This window comes from Homo sapiens, chromosome 2 (assembly GCF_000001405.40).
Source record: "Homo sapiens chromosome 2, GRCh38.p14 Primary Assembly".
Lineage (NCBI taxonomy): Eukaryota > Metazoa > Chordata > Mammalia > Primates > Hominidae > Homo > Homo sapiens.
In genome coordinates, this window is record NC_000002.12 from 51,013,980 (window position 1) to 51,040,997 (window position 27,018).

The window sequence follows — 27,018 nt, forward strand, 5'->3', positions numbered from 1 at the left end:
TGATCTACAGACACTAGTGAGAGACATTTTTTAAGCCACTAGATAACAAAAACCTATCAAGAATTTTATGAAGTTCTTGTCCATGCAATTTCCAAGGCATGATGGGAAATTAGCAAGTCAGACAAAGGCAACAGGGAAGGTGAGGGGGTCACTGAAAGTGCAGTGATGCTGCTGCTGGGATGAACAGACCAGGATGACTGTAACACATTTTTGGAACTAGCCTTTGGAAGAGCATTAGCCAGCTGAAGTGATAGTGGGTAAAATAAACAGAGCGGGGGCTATTAGAGGAAGGAGGCTGAATGTCAGACCAGTTGCAAAGAACGAGGATTGGAACATTTTTAGCTCAGTGAAGACAGCACTCTTTCTCTTAGGCAGATAAAGATAATTGAAGAGGATGCTAACCATATGGATTTTATTTCCACTGAAGACATAAAAAAATTAATTTATGTCAGCAGAGAAAGGATATTCATTAAACTTAAGGGAGAAATTTTCTGCTCAGGAAAAGTTATTAAACAGTTAAATGGAATTTTGAAAAAGAGAAAAAATATGACATTGCATTAGCTTATACAGACTTCTTTGAAACACAGGAGAGATTATCCTATGTGAAAGGGTGTGGAGGATATACAGTTAGTTATTATTTTATAAATAAAAAAGAAGGAATTACAAGTGAAGAGTCTGGCCTCAGGATTTACGCAGCTATGATTCAAATGTCAGGTTTGTGAATTTCTAGTGCGTGAATTGGGGAAAATTTTAAAAATCTTTCTGGGCCTTAATTTTCTCACCTATCAAATGAGAAAAAAGTCACCTACTTTTTAGGGTTGTAGAGTAGACCAAATGAATTAATAGCACAAAGAGCTGAAAATAGTGCCTGACACACTGTGAGAGCCATTTAAGATTTTGCTATTGTTGTTGATGTTGTCAGTTGGCAGGAAAAATTCCAATGATACACTGCCAGAAATGACAGCTAGAGACAAAGAATGATTATATTTTCTGTAGGTTAAATGTAGACAATTACGTATTTATTCTTGTCTTTTCCTTCCTATTTCCCTTTTTGGCTTAAGCCCAGAGCCAGAAGTCAAGCAATGTATGTTCCTGTCCTGTCTTCTACTAACCAGATGTGTGATTTTTTAAATTTTAAACCAACAGTTCTCAATGTCCTCATTGTTTCAAATTCTGTTAACTCTTCTCTGTGTCTGTCTGTCTCTCTCTCTCAATTTACTTTAATCACAAATACTCTTTTTCTCTCCCATCATCTTTTCTCCTATCTCCTGTTCCTCTCTTCTGGTCTTCTGTCTCATTTTCTAAATTATCAAACAGCTCAAGCTTCCCAGCTTCCCTGAGGCTTGAGCATCTTTCCATCCTCCACCTCCTATGGGCAGAAGACACTCAGAATTGTGTATTTGGCTCCAGTTCAAATTGTTATTGTCTCTGTTTAGGATACAAATAAGGATTTTGTCCAGGATGGATAATGTCTTGGGTCGAGGAGAAGGAAGGTGCCCATCATTCTTCTTTATTGCCAAGAACCTCTGGGAACATGAACAGCTCCCAGCTAACAGCAGGAGAGGAGCACCATTCCCAGAAGATTTATTCTAACTCCTGAAGCTCTACCTATGTCTGTACTTTTATGAAGGAAATCAATATATAGAGTCATAGAATAACAATGGATAAACTTCAAGTGAAAAAAAAATATTTAAATATCATTTGAAGTCAAAAAATACATTGTGATAGAAGAAAGACATATTTTAATCCAACCATTTTTAACTTAAATAAAGGGTGAACAGGACAGAGGAAAAGAAAATGAATGTCTAATATATTATAAAATATATGTAATGATATTAACTGAAAAATGGAGCACGTTTTTAAACTTACAAGTTACCATTTGAAAAAAACTACTTTAAATTTCATATGGAACCAAAACAGAGCCCGTACAGCCAAGAAAATCCCAAGCAAAAAGAACAAAGCTGGAGGCATCAAGCTACCTGACTTCAAACTATACTACAAAGCTACAGTAAACAAAACAGCATGGTACTGGTACCAAAACAGATATATAGACCAATGGAACAGAACAGAGACCTCAGAAATAATGCCACACATCTACAACCATCTGATCTTTGACAAACCTGACAAAAACAAGCAATGGGGAAAGGATTCCCTATTTAATAAACCATAAAGATCCTTGAAGAAAACCTAGACAATATCATTCAGGACACAGACATGGGCAAAGATTTCATGACTAAAACACCAAAAGCAATGGCAACAAAAGCCAAAATTGACATATGGGGTCTAATTAAACTAAAGAGGTTCTGCACAGCAAAACAAACTACCATCAGAGTGACAGGCAACCTGCAGAATGGGAGAAAATTTTTGAAATCTATCCATCTGACAAAGGGCTAATATCCAGAATCTATAAGGAACTTAAACAAACTTACAAGAACAAAACAACCCCATCAAGAAGTGAGTGAAGGATATGAACAGACACTTTTCAAAAGAAGACATATATGTAGCCAACAAATATGTGAAAAATAGCTCATCATCACTGGTCATTAGAGAAATGCAAATCAAAACCACAATGAGATACCATGTCATAGCAGTTAGAATGACGATCATTAAAAAGTCAGGAAACAACAGATGCTGGAGAGGATGTGGAGAAAAAGAAACGCTTTTACACCTTTGGTGGGAGTTTAAATTAGTTCAGCCATTGTAGAAGACAGTGTGGTGATTTCTCAAGGATCTAGAAACAGAGGTACCATTTGACCCAGCAATCTCATTACTGGGTATATACCCAAAGGATTATAAATCATTCTACTATAAAGACACATGCACATATATGTTTATTGCAGCACTATGCACAATTGCAAAGACTTGAAACCAACCCAAATGCCCATCAATGATAGACTGGATAAAGAAAATGTGGCACATATATACCATGGAATACTATGCAGTCATAAAAAAGGATGAGTTCATGTCCTTTGCAGGGACATGGATGAAGCTGGAAACCATTGTTCTCAGCAAAATAACACAGGAACAGAAAACCAAGCCCTGCATGATCTCACTAATAATTGGGAGTTAAATAATAAGAACACATGGACACAGGGAGGGGAACAGCACACACTGGGGCCTGTCAGGGGGTGGGGGTCTAGGGGAGGGATATCATTAGGAGAAATACCTAATATAGATGACGGATTGATAGGTGCAGCAAACCACCATGGCACGTGTATACCTATATAACAAACCTACGTGCTCTGCCCGTGTATCCCGGAACTTAAAGTATAATTTAAAAAAATAAATAAATATCAAAAGCAAATATGTGTATAGGTTCCCTAACTTTTCTGATAAAAGAGGTTTCTGGGATTCTTTTTTTTTTTTTCTTTTAAGAGATAGGGTCTTGCTCGGTTGCTCAGGCTGGAGTGCAGTGGCACAATAATAGCCCACTGCCTCCTAGAACTCCTGGGATCAAGCAATCTTCACACCTCAGCCTCCTGACTAGCTGGGACTACAATACACGTATGGCCACCACATCTGGCTTTTTTTTTTTTTTTTTTTTTTTTTTTTTTTTTTTTAGAAATGAGGTCTCGCTTTTTTGTCCCGCCTGGTCTGGTACTCTTGGACTCAAGTGACTCTATTTGTACTCCCAAAGCACTGGGATTACCTTATTTCCTAGAAAGTTGGCAGAACTTTTTAAATAGACATTCATAAATGTATACTCTTACACATTTCACTGTGCTTTTGAGTAGTGAAATACAATATGTAACTTCCTATATTTAGAATGTTTTCAATTCAGTAAATTAAACATTTAACATTTGTAGCATCACGTATAATTTTAAATAAATAATTACATTATTTGCTGGAAAATAAATCAATTTTTCACCAAAGTTAAAGAGCTTAAGCTGTATAGTGGTTTCTTCCATACAACAACTATAGTCATATGCTGCCATGCCAGCTATTTCCCTAAGGAGAGCCCAGGCATGCTTAATTATAGAGGAACACCATTACTTAGAAGAAAAAACATGAGTCTTTAATTTCCTTGTCTCCGCTGGACGGGGCTGTGGATTCTGCTGAATCTAGCAATGTCTGAGTAACACTTAAGCCTAGCTGTTTCCATATACGGGCCAGGTGTTGCGAGGTCCCAAACAACAGTACCTCCTAAGCTCTCATCAGTTGTGTTTCCATCATGGATTAGAACCCACACAGAATTCATTATGTCTATAATTAAATGAAGAAAGCCCTTCTGATGTCAGGATATTAGTGAAGCAACTGTTCGTCTTGGCAGCTCCGCTTTTAACTTTTGGATTGCCAGATCCCTCCTGGGAACCAACCTAAGAAAGCACTATTTGATGTAGCAGTTGTTCCTGCAGTGTGGTGTCAGTGCATTTCTAATTACAGTCCAGACAGTTTTGAGCGTGAGTAACTAGACAAGAGGCCAGGTCAGCACTTTGGCTTGCCAGGTCAGACTTATTTTCCTCCCACTTCTTTCCAATAATAGTTTCTCATATATACCTGAAATAGTACAGGGCATTCATCTTTCCAACTCTAAGAACCACTCCTAAGTTCAATTTCAAGCTATGTGTTGGGAAGCCAAACACGCTTAGCCAAAAAGAGGCACTATCTTCTCATTACGACATTTCAATTAAGTGCCCACTGTACCATCATCTAGATTTTCAGCAGAACCATACTCTAACTCAGCAACTCTCATTATTTATGTGACTGAGCTAGTTCTTTATATTTGTGCTGACTCACCACAGAGGTTGATATTTTCAATAATTTTATCATCCAAACTCTGAAAGAGATGAAAACTTTGTGTTGCTTGTTTTCCAAAATAATAAGTTTTTCATCAAAAGGACAAAAATTTGTTGTAATATTATTTAGTTGCAATATTTTGGGGCTTTACTGCTGGTTATGATAGAGTAGAATCAACCCATCAAGTAGAATATGAAAAGAAGGTTAACAAAGGAAGCAAATAAACAAGCGTTATGAAAACAAAGAGTGATGAATTCTGACAAGCTATTCCATTTTCTTTATTATCATGACAGTAGGAAGCAGCACTAAATGTAAGAGTCTGCCACAACCCTCAAATCTGAATGCTTTATTATAAGTCAGCCATTTAAAATAGTACCAACCTGAAAACTAGTGAACAAACAGCCCAGCATCCCTTTGATAAGCGAAATATACAAGTTGTGTCATACAATGGACAGGGCTGCCTGCTAAGGTATTGGGCATACTTGGACCCAAATCCCAGCTCTGCCATTTACGAGCTACTGAACTTTTAGCAAGTGATCTCTTCTAACTCACAGTTTTCTCACTGATAAAATCGATATTTTATAAAATTATCAAGTAGGACTATGGTAAGACTATATAAGATAAGGTAGACAAAGTACACTGCATAATGCCTTTCACTCGAAAAACACTAAATAGTAATTTTAATAAAAACTACTGTGATTTTTAACAGAATGATTTTAAATTATTCTCAACTTCAAGAGGTGCTTATGACCTTACCTTTAAGGAGAGGCATCTAGTCCATTTTCTGAAATAACTTAATGTATAATATTTTGGGGGAAAATCATGTATATTTGCAGATTTAGAAAATACTATGAGAGTTATGGTTGAACTACCTGGTAATGCCTTTTCCAATATCCAATTACTCATTCAAGTATTTACTGAACTCTTACAAAATACTCATCATTCAATTACTTAACAATTCCAGCAGTTGAGTTGTTCTAATTGGAAAACTTACATTGCCTGATTGTGTTGGTAGGATTTGTGCTCCGTGGATGCAAGTGTAAAATAAGAACCTATGTTTTATTTCTAAACATTATAAAGAACATAAAAGTGGAAAATGATTCAAATTCAAACACTGTATACAGTGTTTAAAACAGAGTACTTTCTCTGCTTACTTTTAAAATTATTCATAAATAGGTCTGCTCTCTGGAATACTCCTTGGATATATGTTACAAATATTTGACTTTTATACTCAACATTTTTCAATATAGATTTCCATTAAGGATTACTTTGTAACTAAGCTTTTTTGTATATTCAGTGCATTGGTATTCACTGAACAGCATTTCTGTTTTAATTTGAAAGGTTTTTTTTTTTAAGTTGAGGGAGAGTTTACATACAGTAAAGCATATACATTTTACGTATATAGTTCAGTGAATCTTTACAAATGTAACCACCACCCATATCATGCCCAATGCTCCATTGTTTTGTCCTCTTCTAGTCAAGACCACTAAAAGGTACCTTTATCCCAACCTCTATCATCATAGATTAGTTGTATCTGTTTTAAACTTCATATAAACAGAATTATATCGTATGCACTCATATAATTGCTGCCTTAAAGCACTTATTTTATTTGTTTAAATTTTACCCAAGCGGAATAAGGGAAACAATGTCCTCTTTACTTAGCTTGTCATAAAATCCATATTTTAAAGCATAATAATAAGAGAACTCTACCAAATCTGATGCATACTTCTGGGCATAAATGATCTAAAATACATTTAAAATGACCCCAAAGTAGATGTAAAGAAATATGATTCACATTTTTATAATACTATTAGCATTCACAACGTCCTACAGCAATCTACCTGCTACCATTTAATATCTCCCACAAATTTTTAAGCTTTGAAAGAGTGTGTATCTATTATCTACTCGCAAACAATCTGTGAAGTAGGCTGGCATTAGTTCACAATATATTAGTAGTCTGATTAGGTGGTTTCCCAATTCGCAACCTTAGAAAATGAAACAGAACATTGATGGTGTTATTTTACTTTTAACATATATTAAGATGTAAAGTCCCACCTGGAATTTAGTTCTTCAGATTCCAAACCATGTTCTGTTTACACACAAAATACAAATAATCATGTGGCAAGAAAGGAATCTGAGAGAGCATGGTACTCATTCCAGTATTCAAGTAGAACTACATGGAATCCATGCTCAGGAGAAAAAACAAAAAGCCTTGCAATTTTCTGAACAGCTCTAAAGCAACTGGCCAAAATTTTGTTTTCCAAAGCTAATTAGAACATTTTAAGATTTACGTATTCAGCAAAGGCCGTGTAAATTTACCTATTCCTATACTTATGAATAATGAATAAAAGAAAAGGAACTGGGCCACAAAATTATAGAGAAGTACACAACAAAAAAAGTATAAGATTTTTGCATACTGTTTTTTAATAAACCAAAAAACTTTAAAAAATATAAAAATAATTTATTCTGAATTACATCAAATAGCTTATATACTTTTTGAGAGCACAGTTTGCACAGCAACTTCTAATAGGTTTATTAACCCTGTAATAAAATGAAACCTGAATATCTATTGTAAGGCCTAATTTTCAGTACATATTTATAGGAGTTAATTCTGCAACCAGTGTAGCTGAGGAAGGAGTATAGAATGTGGTCAACGACTATTTTCAGGTACTAATGTGTCTCAGAGCCCTGGTTTTCATAATGTAGCTAAGAATGACAGAAATATTATACAGTGCCAGTTCTTTCTATAGTCAATCAGGATAACTATACTTTTAGTAATCAATTTAATTCACATTTAATGATATCCAAAACTGAACATATCAGTGACATGTATACATATATATATATATACACAATTTTATGCTGAAAAATATAACCTACTTATGATAACTAAAATAACAGCTTGCTTGAACTTTTAAAGCCAAATATATTACCTATCTTATCTGCAGCATATGTGTAAATAACTTTAATGTATAAGAGAGTCTCAAAGACAAGTTATAAATTCAATAAATCTTTTTTATACTAAAACTATTAAAACTTTTCCTATTTGATAGACAATGTACTATAAACTTCAAAGTAAATGGTATCTTCAATAAGCTATTAATATAGTAAAAATCACTGCTTAAATATAAAATTGGGATGGAATACAGGTATTAGTTTATGTGGAAAGTGAAAGCATAGTTTCTACATATACTTTTGTGTTAAGTGCTTGCTAAATCACAAAATTCTCAGAATGTGATTTTTTAACATATTTTGAGTAACAGCTAGACATGGGTAACATTAGAACACAGCTGCATGCAACAGAAACAGAGGCTCGTTGTCTTTATAAACTGAAACTTTAGGCAGGTAATGGATCATTATTATACTAAAATTCCTTTTAGACAAGAAGAAGTTCTATACATTTAAATTTTGCTTGAAAGTACCCCTAAAGAAAATAGTGTCGGTGGAAATAGTCAGTGAGGTAATAGTAACAAAAGTAACACGTGGACACTTACAAAATGCTTACTATGTGCCAGGCACTAATCTAAGAGATTCACATGAAGTCACCTGCTTCATTTTCTTAAGAGCACTAAGAAGTAAGCAGTATTCTCATCCCAATTTCACAGATAACACAATTGAGGAATAGAAAGTTTGAGTTTGCCACTTGAAACCAGGCAGTCTGGCCCAAGAGTCTGTATAATTTAACCTCTGCACTACAACTGCATCTCAGAATAGGAAAACAAAATCTCAAAATAATATATTTGACTTTATTTGTGGCATTTTGGAATAGTAACTCAGTTTTTATTATTACCTCATAGTCAAAATAAACTTTTTAATAAACAGATGCCTTTCACTGTCATACTTTAAGAGTTTCCCAGAATGCTTCCTCTAGATCAAAACTATTGATGAGTTTCTGTGACTCAGAGCCTTCTCAATACAGGTGATCCACCTTTTCCTACAATGGCAGACTTCAAACAAAACTCTGGCAAAATCTCTGAATCATTTTTAACCACTATCTACTTATATAATAACTACTTAAATGAAAACAATCTTACAAAGATTACAAGCACCTACAAAATATTTTCCTTTATTGTAGTAGTTACAATGTTGATTCAAACAACAAATATATTTTGTCACTAGAACATGTACTTGGGGGTATACTATAAAGTATGGCACTGTACTTGGGGTATGCTATAAAGTGTGGCACTGCCACTGGGTTCCAAAGACCCATAAATTCAATGGGTGTATCTGCAGGAAACCACAGTACAATCCACATAAAGGGTTCAGGTAATGCTTTTCATAGGTAGAACCAAAGTGTTCTGAACAATCAATGGCCTTACATTTCAACACCTAACCAAACCCATGATGACTTTAACTTCCTTCAAGAAAGAATTGTATTTTTCCCCTAGTTTAATCTACAGCTTACTGTGGGTGCTTAACAAATGATGTTGACTGACAAACAGAAAATGTTTCCTCTTTCTCCCTGGCCCCCTTTCAATCTGTTCTCTACACTGTAGCTAGAGTGACATTTTGGAAATATAAATGTGATAATGCCATCTTCCTCCCTACCATCCACACTACACTCTTTGCATTACTATTTTATCACTTTTACAGTAAAGACAAAAATACTTGACATGGTCCAGAAGGTTGTGCACTGCCTGACCCCACTCCTCTCAAGTAGGGAGTTAGAGCTCCATGCTTAAGGCATTCTCTCAGTGGCACATGCTGTGCCATCTCCTGCATCAGAATTCTGTTCCTCTGGGCTTTACCTGATTAATACTTTTCCTCTGCCTTAATTTGGTTAATTCTTTCTCACTTTTTCAGATTTCAGTTTAATAATCACTTTTTATTACGTCAGCTGACACTATTTTAAGTTTTCATAGTATCATGCACCCATCCTTCAAAATACATACCACAGTTTTAAGCTTCATTTTTTTAAAGTCAATATGCCTTCTCACTAGAATATGAGGTCTATGAAAGTAATAATTATTTCTGCACTACCATTTTATTGCTTAAGCCTAGTACTCTGGTACACAAAACAATCAGTACTTGCTGAATAAAGAAATTAATAAACAAATGAATGAATGAACAAATGAATGAATGAGTGAATGTGGTTGCCTATCTGGTCACATTCACAAAGTAATGGAAAGCAGGAGCTTTCTTAAGTCACATGTATCATACTGACATGTTCAGTGACATTAAACAATCAGGAAGCATAAGCCATACGTGTTTATGGCCATTTAAATAGAGAACATGCAAAAAAAAGTGAAAACAGTCCAATGTGGGATTTTAATATACATGACTCTAAAATGCACGAGACCTGGGGATCTGGAAATCATGAGAATTATAACTTAATTTCTTATTGATTATCCTTGTTATTCTTGTTTTTAAACTGGATAGCTATGAAATTCACTAATTCTTTCAAGTTGCTAGGGATCTATGAGTGCTCTTAAGTAGAAATAATGTTCAAGGTCATTTAGATGAGACCATAACAACGGTCCAGGCACTTAGATGAAATGAATATAAAAAAGCTATGTACCCTGTAAGCATTCATCACTCAGGAAAGGTGACATTTTTGCTTAGTTGAGTTCTGAGGCTGACGCTCAGGGTCAAAGAACATAAGTGATGCATAAATTAGTTTTGTTCTATCAGCCATTTTTACGTTTTTTTTTCCCTTGAATATAACACCTGAACCTGAAAATAATCTCAACCCGAATGAACTGGAAATCTTATTTGCCAGACGTCAAGAAAAAGGGCTTGGGAACAAATAAAAGTGTTTATGCTCTTACCCAGGTTCTGCCACTAACCTGGTCATCACACATAACCTTTCCTGGATTCTCTAACAATACATAAATAAATAAAACTTGCTAGGCTCAAACACAAAGCCAGGATGAAATTGAGCTCATTCAATAAAAATATTCTGGAAATTCATAGGTGCATAAGTTGTTTCAAGGCACTCTTGGCTGGAGGTTGGGGGAGAGATAATATTTTTATTATCTTATTATAGTCTTACTTTTTAGTAGTTCTTATTGTATTTTAAACATGAAGGCAGTTAAATGGTGTTAAAATTTTAAAAGTATTATAGTTTGGACCAGAGATAAACTGAATTTGTTTAATATTTACTTGTCTGTTTTTTTCCCTAAATTTTCTCTTAATGAAGTGAACTTATTTATTTTAAAATTAGTTTTTATGAAGAACATGGCAGACAATGTACATACTGGCTACAGGCAGAGCTTTGTTGATATTTCATCTGAATAGAAATCATCTATCCCTAGCCATTAATACATGATCTGTATTGGGAGAATCATCCATTCTCAATTAATTATTCAATAGTCACTTGACACACATGAAATAGGGAAAATAAGCAAAATGGAGCCAATCCTTCTAGGAAGACTGACTCTGCCTTTATCACTCCATCTCCCAATTCTGTGATACTCAAAAGAATCCAATCTTTTGTTTTCCTTCTACGTTTCGTGGTGATCTTTTGCACTCCATTTTCAGTTCAAATTTTCAAAGTGACTCAATGCTTCAGAAGAATCCTAATGGATTTGCTATTCTGAGTTGAATTATCCTATGTACCAGGCACTACACTGTTCAATTATGCATCTTGGTAATTCCAAATTCTTTATCTTATAGAAAGAGCTATCCATTTGCAAAATAAAATGCATTTCAGATACATCTAATTCTGCTTCTCTTTAACAAATTACTTTTTCCACTCTTAACTGTTCCTGATTATGCATGATCTCTGAATCCCTACATTAAAAATGCATAGAAAAATAAAAATTTTCATTTAAAACACCCTCCCACACAGTACAAGCTGTCATTGTGTCATATTTGTTTCCTAATTTAAGGAAGGAAGCTATATTTCATGGGTCCTTCATTAAATTGCCTTCTCTGTATTTTAAAGTGGCATTAGGATACTTAAGACAATTTTCCCATAAAATAATGTTCATTTTAAAATTTGTTTCTATTAATCAGTGCAAAAGTATGCAACTTCAAATTACAGTATGGAAATTATCATATCTACCTAGCATATTATTCATGATTCACAAGTAGATTTGCTAGAAGAAAAAAACTATCTTTTTTATTTTGTAAAACATAACTGTAAAGCCTGCTCTCATAACCATAGAAATGTACTGTTAAAGCTGAAGTGCTGTATAGGCCATGGAATACACAGTTTTCTATAATTACCTAAGCCAAAATATAATGAAAAACAAAAACCCACATGAAGACAGAGCGCAACAAAATAGCCCTTTCTTTCTTCCCCTCCTCCTAATCCTGTGAAGGCTACAGAAGTCTCCTAAAGACCAGTTTTTTTTCTTCCTAACTAACTCTCCTTGCTGTTTAAACAATTACAAATCTTATCAAGTCTTCATTTCTCTTAAAGTCAAGTGAGAGAGAACTGCCAACTCTAATAAGATTTACAAAGGCTAGTTCCCCTTAGCACTGTCAGCAAAAATCAAAGACATTATACAATAAAACGCAGCCACACAGAGCTTTTGTCCCTATAGCTTTCGAAATCAGATTTAATAATTCACCTTTTTTCACCCATTTCAGCCACAAATGCCATTTATCCATGTGTTGATTGCCTTGCTTTGACCCATAAGCTATCTACTTTAAATCCTGACATCTCCTACTTAGCCACTGATTCGTCTTTTTCACACCACTCACTCACTTTCTGTTAGAGGCTTTGCTGTATTTATACAACAGTATTTTCCTTGGTCATTGTCATGTAACAGCACCGGCAAAACACACTGAAGACCGAATTTTATTTCTAAAGAGGAGAAAAGAGAACTTAGGTATGACTTTTGTAGTTTAATGCCACACTGTTTTAAGCCCCAAGAACCACAGAAATTACAACTTGGCCTCCACTACCCAGATAAATGTCATTAGCCGAATATCCTTAGAAAATCTCTTGCAATCCCTTACATGCATCCCTGTTTATTAGTCTGCAGAAGCTTCCCAATCCAGCAACATCTAAATTTCTCTACTACTTTATTTCTCTTTATAAGGCATTTGTTAATTAAGAAATCTTATTTAATCTCTAACATTTTTAAACGTCAGCTGACCTCACACTTCAAGAAACCGCATAAATGACAAAATTTTACTTAAATTTCACAAATGTTGGACTTGGATATAACAGTGGAAACCAACATTATTCCAAAAAGCCTCCTGCTAATGAAGAAACGCTTCACATCCTCTCTTTCCCTTTTTCCACAACGAAAAGCAGGTTTTTACCGCTCTATCTGCAAAAGGCAGAGCACTGCCCGTGAACCCTGTCTTTCTCGTCCTTTACCACGAGTGACCAGAACCACGTGGGGATTCTCAACCACGGCCGTGGTATACCTCTCCTGTGCTTCATTTCTCATCAAACACATGCCCAATCTTCTAGATGCTTGTTTGCATCTTAAGGGCAAAGTCTGTGTGTTACAGATTTAGAAGTGGTAGAGACAAGTACAGTGGTCATATAGGTGGGCCGCGGCCCAATATAGGGCCCAACCTGCCAAAGAACCCGAGGAATAAGAAGAGGCCATTGTATTTGCCACTTGGAAGGGAGTAGTGTTGGTAGAAAGGTCTCCAGAAGGAACTCAAACTTGGATATGGGGGCTGCCAATCCTTAGGAGGATGTCAAGGGAGAAGCTGTGGAGGTGGTAAGGTAGAGAGTCCCCCAGAAACAAGGTCCTTCCCTCGAAGCGAACTGCCACACGTTTGCCAAGATTAGGAAGACCCCATGCACCAGCCCGGTCCCCTCCTCCCCGAGCCCCGCCCAGGCCCCGGCCCCCGTGGGTCGGGCGTCGGGCCTTACCTTGGCTGCAGTCCTTGCCGCGGAAGCCGGTTCGCGAGCAGTCGCACACGGCCTGGTCGTCCACCACGGAGCACACACCTCCGTTGAGGCACACCCCGCCCTCGCCCTCCTCGCCCGCCTCGCACGGGCTTCCCCCGCCGCTGTTGGGCGGCTCATCGTCCAGCTTCACCTCGCCGCTGTCCACGGGCAGGACCTGCGAGGAGTTGACCCTCACGTCACGAATCCACCCCTTGAAGGGCTCCCGCTCCCTCACCGAGGCCAGGGTGAGCTTGAGCGCCGCGGCGCGCAGTTCCGGGGGCAGCCCCCCGACGAAAAGGCCGCTGAACACCGTCATGTCCCTGCGCTTGGACTTGACCTCCACCCACTTGGCCTCCACCTGGTCGATGAAGAGCGTGGTGTTGCGGAACTGGCGGCGGATGCGCACGCTGTGCCAGGCGCCGTCGTTAACCGGCGTGTCGGCCAGGAGCGTCGCAGGCTCAGCGCAGAAGATGGAGAAGCTGAGCTGCAGGCGGCCGCCGCGCGTCAGAATCAGCTCCAGGAAGTCGCAGAAGCCCTCGTCGTCGAAGTAGAGCACGAGGCCGCGGGCGCTGCGAGTCTTGAGCTGGAAGCTCATCTCGCTCTCGCAGCAGGCGTTCCACTTGGGGAAGCGCGTCCATTGGCCCTCGGCGCCCGGAAACTCCAGCCCGCTGCCCAGCTCCGCCCAGCAGCCCAGGAGCAGCAGCGAGAGGCACAGAAGAAAACAGCCCCCGCGCTGGAGCAGCGCCGTCCCCATGCTCGGGGCTGGGGTGCGGCGGGGGGGTGCCGGGGCCGACAGGGTCAAAATGGTCCTGGACACCGTGACGAAGAAATAAGGGTCCCGAGAGACAGAAAGGTAAGGGGAAAGGCGGGAGTGAGAGGGATGTGCCCTCCTTTATCTAGTTCTTTTTTTCTTCTTCTTCTTCCAATAACCCCGCCCTCTCTCCCTGTAGTCCTCTTCCAACTGGAAAACGTTGACCCCAGTGGTACAGGGTAGCCACAGAACTTCCAGACCAAAGGGAGGATGCACTTTGGAGACAACGTTCTGGAAAAGGCTTCAACAAAAGATCAAGGGAAAGCACTGACCCATTTGAGTCTGATTAACTAATTTAAGAGTATCTGCAGTGTCAACAGATACTTAACTCCTCAAATCCCATTATCTGCCAGGTTCCACCAGTGGTACCAGGCCAAAAGGAAGCAGTGAGAGTCAGTAAAAAGAAAACACTTTTCTCAAGAAAGTACAGGAAGCCAGCAGTGAGCCAGTATCCTTGGATGCTTGTGAATGCCTCAAGTCTGTCTCCTTCAGATGTGGTGTCTTACAGCAGAACGGAGAAAGGGATGCTTGCCTCTTTAGGGCACCATTTCTTAACCCGAGGATAGCTTCAAAGGCCTGCTTCTTCTGTCATAGCATGGGCTTCAGCACCGCTGCAGCCAAAGCCTAATTCCTTGTGCGTGGTCTCACAAGTTGGATTTTACTTCTCTTTTCAGCCACGGCAACAGTAGGACTCAAACCCAGCAGTTGCGAAATAGCCAGAAGCTGTTAGATGTGGAAATCGCAACAGCTCCTCTTCTTTTCTCTCTGCCTCTGCAGGGCCAAGCTAAGATGCCAGCACATCAATTGGTTGTGTGTTGGTGATGCATTTTGGTTTTATCTTGTCTTTTTTAAGGACTCAGACATCTGCAGAGAATTAAAGTCAAAATTAAGGTCTAAAGTCAATATAGTATTATATAAATCATTATTCAGCTCATAACACAAGTGTAGACCTGGTCCTATTAGTAAGGCAAAGAGTTAACCTTCTTGTATGGAGCTTTTGTTATCCTCACTACAAGTAAGTCCTAACATTTTCTAATAGTTAATATGACACTTTTACAGTCAGCCATGACACCCTTGTAGTTTATTATAACTGTTAGTTGGTAACCCGAAGTTTTAAAGAGAAATTTGATTATGGTTATCTTTTTCTTTTCGCAAGATAGTTTAATTTTTAAAATATGTGAGGGGAGAACAAATGCTTTTAAGGATTTCTACCTATGTTGTGTGCTTGTTCTGTGGACAGTAAAAATACAACCTATTCAAATCTCAGTTAAGAGATTTTACAATTGGCAAATTAGATTAAACTGTTGGCAGGAAGCTGCCAGCTTAGACTTGTATAGCATTCCTGCCATTTTATTTTTCTTAGAAGGAATATTGATGGTTTCTTGATAGTCTCTTGCAAAATTTCACACAAGTATAGTTCTCCTTTATATTAATGAATAATCTGTTGTAAAAGAAAACCACTAATTGGAGCCAGATTTATGTTTTTGGCATTGTCTCAATTGCCCTAATATTAACTTCTCTAAAGGTGCATAAAGTATTTAATATTTTGCCTAAAAGTGTAGATCTAACTCCTCCTGAAGTCTGTATCTTGCTGTCAGCCCTCACAATTTGTGTGGTCAGAAGAGCTGTTGGCATGTATGTCATCTCAGCTGCAGTGGCTCCAGGATGCTAGAATTTAAAACCGTACCTTTGAATCACTCACTATACTATTAAATCACTTCTCTTTATTCAACTCTAATCTGACAGGTTCTTGAAATGGTACAGAAATCATAATCACTGATTTTTTTCCTAAGTCATTTTTTAACCAAAAAATTACTCTTACCTTTTGAAAAAAATTACAAATGTATAATCTGTTCATGTCAAGGAAGTGCATTATTTTTCTCACTATTTCTTATATTCCCCACCTCTTGCAAACACACACACTGCAATATATATACACCATACACACATGCACACACACACCCCAAATTTATTGTCTGGATGTAGAAGCTCACTACCCAATTAACACTTTTTTTCCCTTACAAGCTGAAACTAGCAGTAATTTATGGCACCGCATTGTGCTGCTGCTTCTCCATGGGGGGAGCTGAGAGCATTTCTCTTCAGTACAGAGCAATCCCCACAGGTGTCAGCTGAGAGCCACCAAGCTAGGGTATCCCACTTCAAGTTCCTCCCAGATGAAATTGATGACTGGTTCTCTCTCTTTCAACACACACACACACACACACACACACACACACACACAGTGTGGGTGTGCGCACATACACACTGCCCACTAGCAAAAGGAAATAAAAATCTCAGTTGCTTATTTATTATGGCTGATACATTCCACACCATCAGCAATCACCAGTCATATCTTGTCTTCTCCTATATCAAACCCGAGGAAAGAGGCTCGTCAAATCATCTGAAATAGCATATTATTCAGTATACTTTCATATTTTAAGTGGACTCAGGAATCTGCTAAATTTTCAGTCATTTGCAAAATAAATCTGGAATATCATGATCAAGAGTAGTGCTTTGAACCCTTTCTCAAGCTCATGTGTTAGAAAACCTTTTTTTTTTTCTTGTGTGTGTAACTCTGTTGGAGCCAATTATTGTATTAATTAATGTTACATTGATCACATAACCTTTTTTCTCCCGTCCCTCCTGCCCTCCTCCACTAATGCACACCTTGACAATTTTAAGGGATGGTGGAAGAGAGAAAAACCGTAGAGCAATATATATGTACATATAGATATATATACATTCTTATCACAGGGAGGTTAACTGGTTTTCCCAGTTCTTGGAGGAAGCTCATTGTATGTGAGCGAGTATCTGTATTTATATGGAGAAAAGAGGATTCTCTCTAGGTGCCAGAAAGACCTGGCCAGTTCACAAATTAGAGGATGAAATAAAGGGATCTGAAAAACATCCTTACTGCAGCCAAAAGAAGAAGCGCTCTAATTCAAAAGCAGACTAACAGCATCATTAATCTTTTCTTTCATTTCTAGAATCAAATTCATCCCAAGTCACTAGGAGGATCAATACAGTACGCTCATCGGCTGCAGTTGCATATTTTAATGTTTCTGATATCACACACACATACACACCTACACCTTTCCATGCACCCTTCAATATATATATATATCTTCATAAAGAACATGAAATCTCTGAGAGAAATTTTAGAAGTGCTTATTATTTCACCCCTGGCTTTTGCAAAGTCTCTCAATACCAATGCACAGCCAAAATTCTCTCTGGCTTTCCCGCCCAGTCTCTAAGCTCCATCTCTAATACCAGTGCAGTTTCTTGGAGCTCGGGGTCTACTGCACAAATTAACGATGGGCACAGTGTGGGGCTGATGAGGTAGGGAAGGAAATATATGGAGAGATATTTTATTGCTTTGATATCTAGCCTGTCTCTTATTTTCTTTCTTTTGCTAATACATCACTGCATTCAGCCTTTAAGTTACTACCCCAGTTCCACCATCTCTTCTTGCCATCTATTTAAAAGGCTTCATGCAAAACAACCAAGATCTACACTCCTCCACCCTCCCACCACCCATCTTTCCCTGTGTATTTGTGGCAGATCCTGGCTCAGTTACAATGGGGAAAGATATCCTTCTTCAGCTTGCCTCGCCCCATCCCCTCCCCCCAACCCAAATTGAGCTTCTTTACCTGCCCGGTTATTCCCCTCAGCTCGAGCCAGAGCCTGAAGCATGCATCGGTCAAAGCGAATTTCCTGAGGTCTATGGATAAGGCGACTGCTGCTGCCTTTTCAGAGGCGTCAGGCTTGAGCGTCTATCTCCAGGAGTGCGGGAGGGGAGAACAGGCAACGGAGGGGAGCAGGAGGAGGAGGAGGAGGAGAAGGAGGAGGAGGGGGAGGAGAGGGAAAGAGCTGGGAAGGAAAAGGCGGTGGTGGAGCCTGAGAAGGCTGGGTTACGTGACGCCGGGTGCTGTCCTTCTGAAAGAGAAGGGCGGAGCTGAGCTCTCCGCAGTACCATGGAGAGCGGCGGGCCCGTCCTTTGGCTGGGGAATGGGTGGGCTCGGCCCGTGGTCGCAGCCCCTCCAGGTCTGGATGCTGCGGAGCGAGGTGCTTTTACCTTTGCATCGTCCCCTTGCAGGGGGAGCCTGATCCTGGGGGCGGGGACCTTCCGCAAGCGCTTCTAACTTGTCACCACCCTCTCTTCCCCATCGGAAAGAAAGAAAGAGAGAGAGAGAGAGAGAGAGAGAGAGAGAGAGAGAGAGAGAACGAACGAACACGAACCAGAGAACCACGTAGCCTACTGAGCATGCCCAGGCCCCTGCTAGACCCATGGAAAGCTGTATGGAGATTCCACTTCTCCGGGGTTTGGTAGTGATTGGGCGGGGATACCTGAGAGGGTGCCAGGAAAGGGTCCAGCAGTCAAAGAGAAGGGGCCAAGGAGTCGATAATTATGATGAGCTCTGGCTTTACTTGTGCACCTTGGTCTCCTGCTCGGAACCCTTGAAAAGAAGCTGCAGCTTTTCGAGGAATGCAGGGGCAAGCAAGACTCACACAGGCACTGGCATTCTTCTAGATCCGATGTCCCTTGCCCCACCCCTTACTGTGGCTCTGCCTTGGGTAATCACAACAAATCTTCATGACTTGCCTAGGCTGTGCCAAAAAGATGTAAAAGGAACCCACCAGGGTAAGATGCCAACTTGCAGACGACGATCAACTGTGTCTGACAAGGTGCTTTTTACTGCAGCCTGTCGTCATTCTCCAGCCTTCTGTGCTCTGTCTTGAACCAAGTTTTCTACCTGTTTAACTCTTCCCTCCGTCTCCTCCTCCCTTTTGCAGCTGGTAAAACCTGGTGAAAGTAAAACTGGGTGTGAGGCTCTAACCATGCAACTGGGCATGCCCAATAGGCATTGCTGGGTTTGGTGAGAAAGGGGTTAAATCTAAGGGAGCTTACAGATTAGGTGGTAGAGGAGTTCGGGGTCTGTGGCTTTAAATTATGGTTTGCACCCTATGGACATTTAAATTCCTATTCCTGTATATTCCTAGCCTGGGTTAGTTTTGGAGCAGATACAGACATTTTTATTGCAACGCCACAGACCTAATAGTCTGAACCTCAAATACTGTAAGGCAAGACTATTTTTGGCCTCCAGGCCCTATAGAGCAAGAATTTAAGAACTAGATAAATTTGGGAACATCAAAATAATATATATTACAATTACAATATGTATATTCTTCCAAAAAACTAGAACTCATTCCTATGATAAGCCGATTTATACTTTCACTACTTTTGTAAAAGGGTCTAAATAACCTGAAGGCGGGTATCACAGGTTTTAATATGTTTATCGCCCTTAGAGAGGCAGTTTTGTCAAGTGGTTACATGTTTGGGAAATAGATTGTCTGAGCTTCAATTCAATCTCTGCCATTTATTAGTTGTAACCTCAGCAAGATACTTAATCTTATGCTGCCTCAGTCACCTCATCTGTAAAATGGATATAATAATAGCTCCCTCTTCATGTGTTTGATGTTGTGAAGATGAAATGAATAAATAAACATAACATATTTGGAATTGTGGATTCCAAATTGTGGAATTTTGGCTATATTTATCAACTACAACCCACTCTGTGTTCTGTTTGACTCAATGGAAGGAATTTCTCTGAAACTCGAATTCTTTGACTATAAAATAGAGGTATTAGTCATTGTCAGCTTATTCCATAAGATTGCTTTGGGAATGTAATGAAATAATAGCTGTTAACATGATTCTTAAAACAAAAATTTAATTTTAAATGATGTAAAACTAAGACTCAGAAAATTACTTATCTAAATTATTCATTCAGTGAACTTGAAACAAAAAAACAGTCTAGTTAATTCAGGGCCTTTTTCAATTTTTCCTACCATTAGGTTATAGGACAAATAGTACAGAAGGTACACCGCGATGTGTTTAGTATAGAGCTAAAGCTTATTGCAAAAGTAAGTGGAATGGACAGCCCACTTTCAAAAATCAAGTCTAACTTGGTTCCATGATGCTCTTAAGATCTGGTGTGAACATGCATCAGTGAACATTATGGTAGTGCTAGAGGCACTCTTAAGAGTCAAAGCACTGCCTTTTACCTGGATTCATAAAAACTCATTATTTACCACCAGTGCATGTGATCTGAACAATTTCCTACTTTATTTCATTTCGTCTTTGTGAATTTTTATTTTATCTTTAATTGGGCTACACAGTGTTTCCACTGAATCAAGGTTTTCCTTGAGATGTCTTCTGTGGTGTTTTGATTTAAAAAAAATGTTGACATTCTTATGCTGCATGTGTGAATTTTCAGATTAAAAAGACCAGTGTTCCCACATCTCTTCACCACTGCCTCCCTGACACACACACACAAACTATATAAACTGAAGGAATAGATGATGTATTGGAGTAATCCCCTTTGCAATCAGGTTTAAGGTACTTACTGTATGTAGTCCAAGGAAGTGGACAGCCCCAGGATCTTTTTTTTTTCAGTAAATATGCATAGAGAAAAGTATCAGTTTGTAGCTTAGAATGCAAATATCACAACATAATTTAATGATAAAAGTTGTTAATTTATTTTAAAGTATGAGTTTTTCTGTTGTTTCTCCATAAATTACTTCAACTCTCTAAGTGGCAGTTTTGTCATCAGTAAAATAAAGATAATGGCATCTCCATTTATATGACTTGGTGGAGATAATGTCAACATTGAATGTTAATTTTGTGCCTACTCCTCGCCAAACAGTGCTCCAAGTGCTTTACTTACATTAACTTATTCTAACCTCACAGCAACTCTAAGAGGTAGGTTCTAGGATTTCACTCATTTTACCAATGAGAAAAAGTGAAGCATAGAGAGATTAGTCCAGATAGTCAAAGTCTAGTAAGCAAGCAACAGTGTGAGGAAAAATCCAAACTCAATTCTGTAATCTTAACCCCCTTGCTACACTGACTTTGAACGGATCATCAGATATACGTAGCAAAGTGCTTGGCAGAATGCAGATGCCCGTAATTGTTCATTCCTTTTCCTTTCTAAGACTTTCATCAAGAGGAGTCTAGGAAACTAAACAGTCAACTCCAGAATTTTGCCATAACATTCCTTAATGACTAATACTGTATGAAATATATGATATTCATGTACTTTGTTACATATTATAGGTGACGTGTTTTCAATGTTACTACCTTTTTTGTTTGTTTCTGGGCAAGATGTGAGGTGATTCCTGTAGATCTGAATTTGAAGCAATCTAACATTTGTAAGAACAATCTAGTATTTTTCTAGAAGGTGGGAAGTAGGATTAATTCCTCCTGAATCACCTTAGGGAATCTACTAATTTTAGGCTACAGAAATATGTTAAGGATTTCAACTCCTGCCCCTAGCTACCACTCAGAACAAATGAGGTAACTGCGAAATCAAGGTGCTTGTTTATGATTATGTCTGATTGGGAGAATTTGTGGCAACCCAAATATGGAAACATAAATAATATCTCATGCCATAAACTGGTAAACATTTTGCATCAATGAAAATGGAAATGCATGCTCACCTAAAGCAAGTATATTTCCATAGGTTATTAATATTAATGAGAATTCTAACATGGAGACTAATGCTACACTAAAAATAAATGAAACTAAGTAGTAAGATTTTTTTTGACTGAGAAACGAATGCAGCAGAGATGCTCTGTGTTTATTGCTGCAATCAGACCCTGTGCTTTAACATTAGGAAATCAATGTAAACACCTACTTTCTCAATTAACATTAAGGTAAAGTGGAAGCTTTGAGATACCTATGAATTCCAATATTGATATCAGTTATGAAGGGTGCTTTACTGATATAAGGGGTAGAAGAAGAAACACATGGTAACAATGAGGAAAAATACCAGTTGATATACATTAAATGCATTTTCACTTAAGATGAGAAACAACTCAAAAAAAACAGTAAGATTTATCGCTGAGGGGATTTTCTATTTACTGTCCTATAGATGATCAAAATGAAGCCACTTTTACTAAAATAATCACAGTATCAGGAAAATATTACGTGCTAATTCAACTAAATTTCAGATTGCTATCAAATTTCTCTAACCAATTACATTATCAGTGCTGCACAATTGGAATTCTATTGTTTAGCTCATGACTTTATTTTAATAATATAATCCATTTTTTGTTTGCAGTTAAATGTCTCTAGTTTTCTTTATATGAACCAATTAGAGTTTTCTGGTTACAAAAGTTTAAGAATAGATATTGAACATGCTGCCATATAAAATTTATTTTACAACTAGATGAATTTAAAAATGCAAGGAAATGTAATCAAGTCTAGGGTTTGAGACTCAGCTATAAAATGGAATAAACAGACTAGGATTTACATGTACAAAAAGACACATAATTTCCTATTAAGCTTACTAAGTAACTTTCAGGAGAAATAAGCAAACTCAGTATGTTAAATACTTTCTTACTACTTGAAAAAATCTTAAACATAGTAAAATTAGGCTACTTTTCCTTGAGTATGTAAATTTTCTGTAATCAGAAGGTAGAATGTGATTTAAAATGGCTGCAAATCATTAATGTAATGATAATTATTAAGGTATCAAGCAGCAGTAGAGAAAGCACGTAGATAGGTCCTTGAGAACAGTAGTTAAGTTTTGAACGATGCACCTGCTAGAAAGGCTTCAATGTGGAAACCCTGCAGCGTGTTTGATGGGCAGTGTTTTTAAATCTAGGGCAGCACTTACACCTGAGTGTGTTCCTCTGTGTTTACTTCCACCCCTCCTTCCCCCACAATGAGGAAAAATCTTTCTGAGGAAGAATAGCTGTCGCTAGATGAAGTCTGTGAAAAGTCCCTGCCAGAGGGTTTATGTTTCCTCGATCAGTGATTTAGTTGCACACTTCAGCCTGTCATTATTACCCCCTCTAATGACTTATTTCTCTTCTTGTGAACAGAACTTTCTTCCCCACAACCTAACTCTACACTCAAGCCTGCCATTCTCAACTGCTAGGCTCCAGAAAAGGAATTATCTCATTCATCACAATGTGGCTTCCAATTTATTTTTATTGGGTGCCTGCAACTAGTTAATCTGTTTAATTTAGCCAGTGCTATTTAATATTCCTTACTATGACTTTTAAGAAAAGAGCAAGGGATTTGTGATGAGTTATGGATGTCAGTGAAATTCAAGAGTCTTATTATAATATCTTTGCTTCTTTTTAGCCTATTTCTGCCCCCTAGAAATCTGTGGAATCAATTTTCTGTGATGGCATCTCGAAACATTTTGTGGTTTGCTTTTAAAACACATCCTATTTGATTTTATGTTGGGCTTATGGATTTTTAAAAATATTCAATTCTTACCAGTTTTCCAGCTACTGCCCTCCTCCTACTTAATATAGCTTTAAACCTCATTTTTTTTTCAGAGTTTTCTTCTCATTTTTGTTTGCCTTTCTCATCCATTTGTCCTACTTACATTTTTTCATTTAATACTACAGACACCCACAGAGATAGATATCTTAAGAATACAGAAAGTTGTAGATATTTTATTGTAACTTCACAAATTAGAGCAATAATACCCGCATTTTATGTAAAAAAAAAAAAATCTTAGGTTTTTGAAGAGACTCGTGAAGCAGAATAGGGAAGAGTTTTATTTTGATAAGAGTTTTTCTCTTGCTGAGGAAAGAAGATCAGTGAAATAGGAATAAACTACATCCTTAAGTATATGCTTGATGTACACATCCCATTGAATGAAGTTATAGTACAGTAGAGGCACTTTAATTTTCTCTAGAACAAGGAGAGCAGACTGCAATGCTTAACAGTGTCTGGTGTTTGACATACATGAGTGAGGTAGGCAAACTGGGAAAACAATGAGGATTGGCAGACAGTGTGGACACCTAAAATGTTCATACTTCTCTAAAAATGGCGTTCACTCTGCGGCCGCAACAGCTTGTGACCATGTGAGTCTGGTGTTGCCAGATCCTACGATTTTACAAGAGCAGCTGGAAATCTGAAATGTTATGTAAAATCTTCTGATTTTAAAATCTTGGCTTATTAAAAAATAATCACCACTACTACCACAATACTGTGCAGGACAAAATAGACTTCTCTGCTGGTTGGAAATGGCACACAGCCTACCAGTTTGTTCCCTTCACAGCTTTGTATACACGTACACATGCAAACTCATAATCATGGGTGGTTATTCTCTCTAGTAAACATTTCAAAAGATTGATTTACATGTTCTAAATTCAGCCAAGCACATAGGATAGATAAAACAGTACAGTTGCTATTAAAAGTTGACCTTTAGAACATGAAGATAATTGTTTTGAGTAGTTTGGTATGTTACAAGAAGCACTGAATTCTGAGTTATATGTGTTTCTAGCTGCAGCCTTATTACTTGCTTTGTATGGCAACAGAGACAAATCTCTTAGCTTCTCCTATAGTAGTACCTGCATGATATATGTTGGGAGTTGAATTGTCCCCCTAAAAGATATGTTGAAGTCTTCACCTTATCTATGAATGTGACTATTTGGAAATAGGGTCTTTGCAGGTGTAATCAAATTAAGATAAGGTCATACTGGATTAGGGTGTGCCCTAAATCCAGTGACAGGCATCTTTAAAAGGAGAGACACATTTGAAAACACAGAGGAGATATAAGAAAGAGAATCATGAAGACAAAGACAAATTGCAGTGATATAACTATATAGCCAAGAAATGCCAGGTAATGCCAGCAACCAGCAGACTACTCAAAGAGAGGCATGGAACAGATTTTTCCTAGGGAAAGAACCAACCTGGCTGACACCTTGATTTTAGCCTTCTAGCCTCCAGAATTCCGAGAGAATAAATGTTTTATTGTTATAAAAACCACCCAGTTATATTTTAAACCACCCAATTTGTGATAGTTTATGATAAACCTGGGAAACTAGTACAGGATGCATGATAGAGGATGGAAAAATATAGTTATGCATAATACTATTATAAGAGACCATTTGGCAGATGATTTTACATATATATTTCTTTATCCATTACAACCTTGAAAATTAGACATTCTCTCTCTCTCTCTCACACACACACACACACACACACACACACACACACACACACACAGGCTTGCTCTCACTTTCATTCTCTTTGTCTTTCAACCAACTATGGCTTGGAGATGCTACCCATCTTGCCTTCAAACTTGTAGACCGCTCCTGATAGAGTGAGGACCAAATCTTTCTGAAACTAAAGTCCATATTCTTGTTCACTGTACCATTCTATTGTGGTACTTTTCAAATGTAGAAAACTATAAATATAAGATACAGACATTATTCTAGAGTCTACTTTTTGAGAAATTGAATATAAGAAGAGAAATCACAATAGAGACAGCAAGAATACGTCACCCTAAACAGATACATCTCGATACATTTTAGGTAGAAATAAATCTTGGATAGTGCGGGACAATTCTCCAGGAAGCTTTTAATGCACTGAGTTCCCCCTGCCTTTTTCTTCTAGTTCTCAAGAATAATGACAGAATTTGCTGAGAATGCAATATCTTGAAATAGAGAGGAATGCGTGAAATAGCCCAGGCCTTGGCTCCTGTTCCCCCTAGGAAATATAACATCTTCAGTTATGAATTAACTGCCTGGGACAGCCCAGGCTTTGCTCCTCTCTCTCCAGGAAGTAGGACGTCCTTCAAATTGTTGCCCAGTGAGTTCCATGGCCCTTTAGATATATAACCCAGGGCGGACTGCCTTTTAAGGTCTGTCAGCTGTGGGGCAAGTGGGCCACTCACAGCCAAGGCTCCATCCATTCTAGGCAGTTTTCTTGGGGCTTGGGGGACCTGTTTACAATGGATCCCAGGCATCTGTTGTCCCTTGCTTCCGATTTGTAAATAATAAATCTCCATCATGTAACTTGTTGTTTATGAGTGTGCTCTGTCTCATCAAACTCAGACAAGTTGGTAACCAGTGCAAAGTGAACCTGCTTTCCAAATAGGATGTTAGGATAAGAAAAAAGGAATATTCTAGATTTCTAGTGATTTAATACTGGCAGTATGTTTAAATAAACGTATTTATTATAAAATAACATAATACAAGACAGAAAACGTAAGTCTTGATCTTGATGAATTTCAAAAGATGAACATACCCTTATGACTTTCACCAAGATAAAATATTAGAATATTAAACTCCTATTCCTTCTAGTCATTTTCTATTCTCTCCTCCATAAATTTAATTAATAACTTGATTTCAAACTACCAAAACTAATTTTGCTTGTTTTTGCTATCTAGATAAGTGGTATAATTCAGTATGTTCTACTCTGTGTCCGCCTTCTTTTGTTCAACTTTATGTTTGTGAAATCCATCCATGTTGCATGCAGCAGTGATTTTGTTCATTGTCAATGTTGAATTCAGTTTTATAAATTTACCAATATTTATCTAGTCAATTGTTGATAAACATTTGTATTGTTTTCAGTATTGGACTCTTACAAATAATGTCTTATAAACATTGTACATGTTATTTGTTGCAAATATGTACACAATTCCACTGGGTTCATGCCTAGGAATGGAATTGCTGGGTCATGGGTTAATTTTAGTAGTTGTTGACAAAGAGATTTCCAAAGTTGTCACTATTTATACACTGAAAAACAGTGTGTGAGAATTTCTCTCTTTCTGGCCAAAAAAATTTATCAATCATTTTAATTTTAGATATTCTAGTTGGTTTCACTGCTATCTCATTAACATTTTATTTTTTAATTTCC

At 37.9% G+C, this 27,018-nt stretch overlaps 1 protein-coding gene and 1 long non-coding RNA gene across 20 annotated transcripts in view, besides 1 other annotated feature; one reads left to right on the forward strand and one right to left on the reverse strand.

The window, feature by feature from the left end:
- NRXN1 (neurexin 1) overlaps nt 1–18,153 on the reverse strand; it is a 1,113,630-nt gene extending 1,095,477 nt beyond the window's left edge. For 18 of the 19 annotated variants that reach the window (NM_001330096.2, NM_001330087.2, NM_001330083.2 and 15 more), the window contains exons 1-2: nt 18,002–18,153; nt 13,523–15,215 (exon numbers count right to left, since the gene is read on the reverse strand). In NM_001330096.2, coding sequence (NP_001317025.1) covers nt 13,523–14,294 — 772 coding nt within the window. In that variant the 5' untranslated portion in view covers nt 14,295–15,215; nt 18,002–18,153. Of the gene's footprint in view, nt 1–12,391; nt 12,491–13,522; nt 15,216–18,001 lie in introns of all 19 variants that reach the window. The other variant, NM_001135659.3, reaches the window with a different exon arrangement.
- Nucleotides 13,352–14,051: an enhancer, noted in NCBI's record as "H3K27ac-H3K4me1 hESC enhancer chr2:51254469-51255168 (GRCh37/hg19 assembly coordinates)". NCBI's record gives its function as "activates a minimal SCP1, AML or CMV promoter by ChIP-STARR-seq in primed H9 embryonic stem cells {active_cell/tissue: H9 hESC(primed)}" and the evidence as "EXISTENCE:reporter gene assay evidence [ECO:0000049][PMID:30033119]".
- The window catches only part of NRXN1-DT (NRXN1 divergent transcript), a 1,375,317-nt gene continuing 1,366,920 nt past the window's right edge, over nt 18,622–27,018 (forward strand). The window contains exon 1 of the long non-coding RNA NR_135237.1: nt 18,622–19,037. This is a non-coding gene — a long non-coding RNA (NRXN1 divergent transcript). The remainder of the gene's footprint in view (nt 19,038–27,018) is intronic.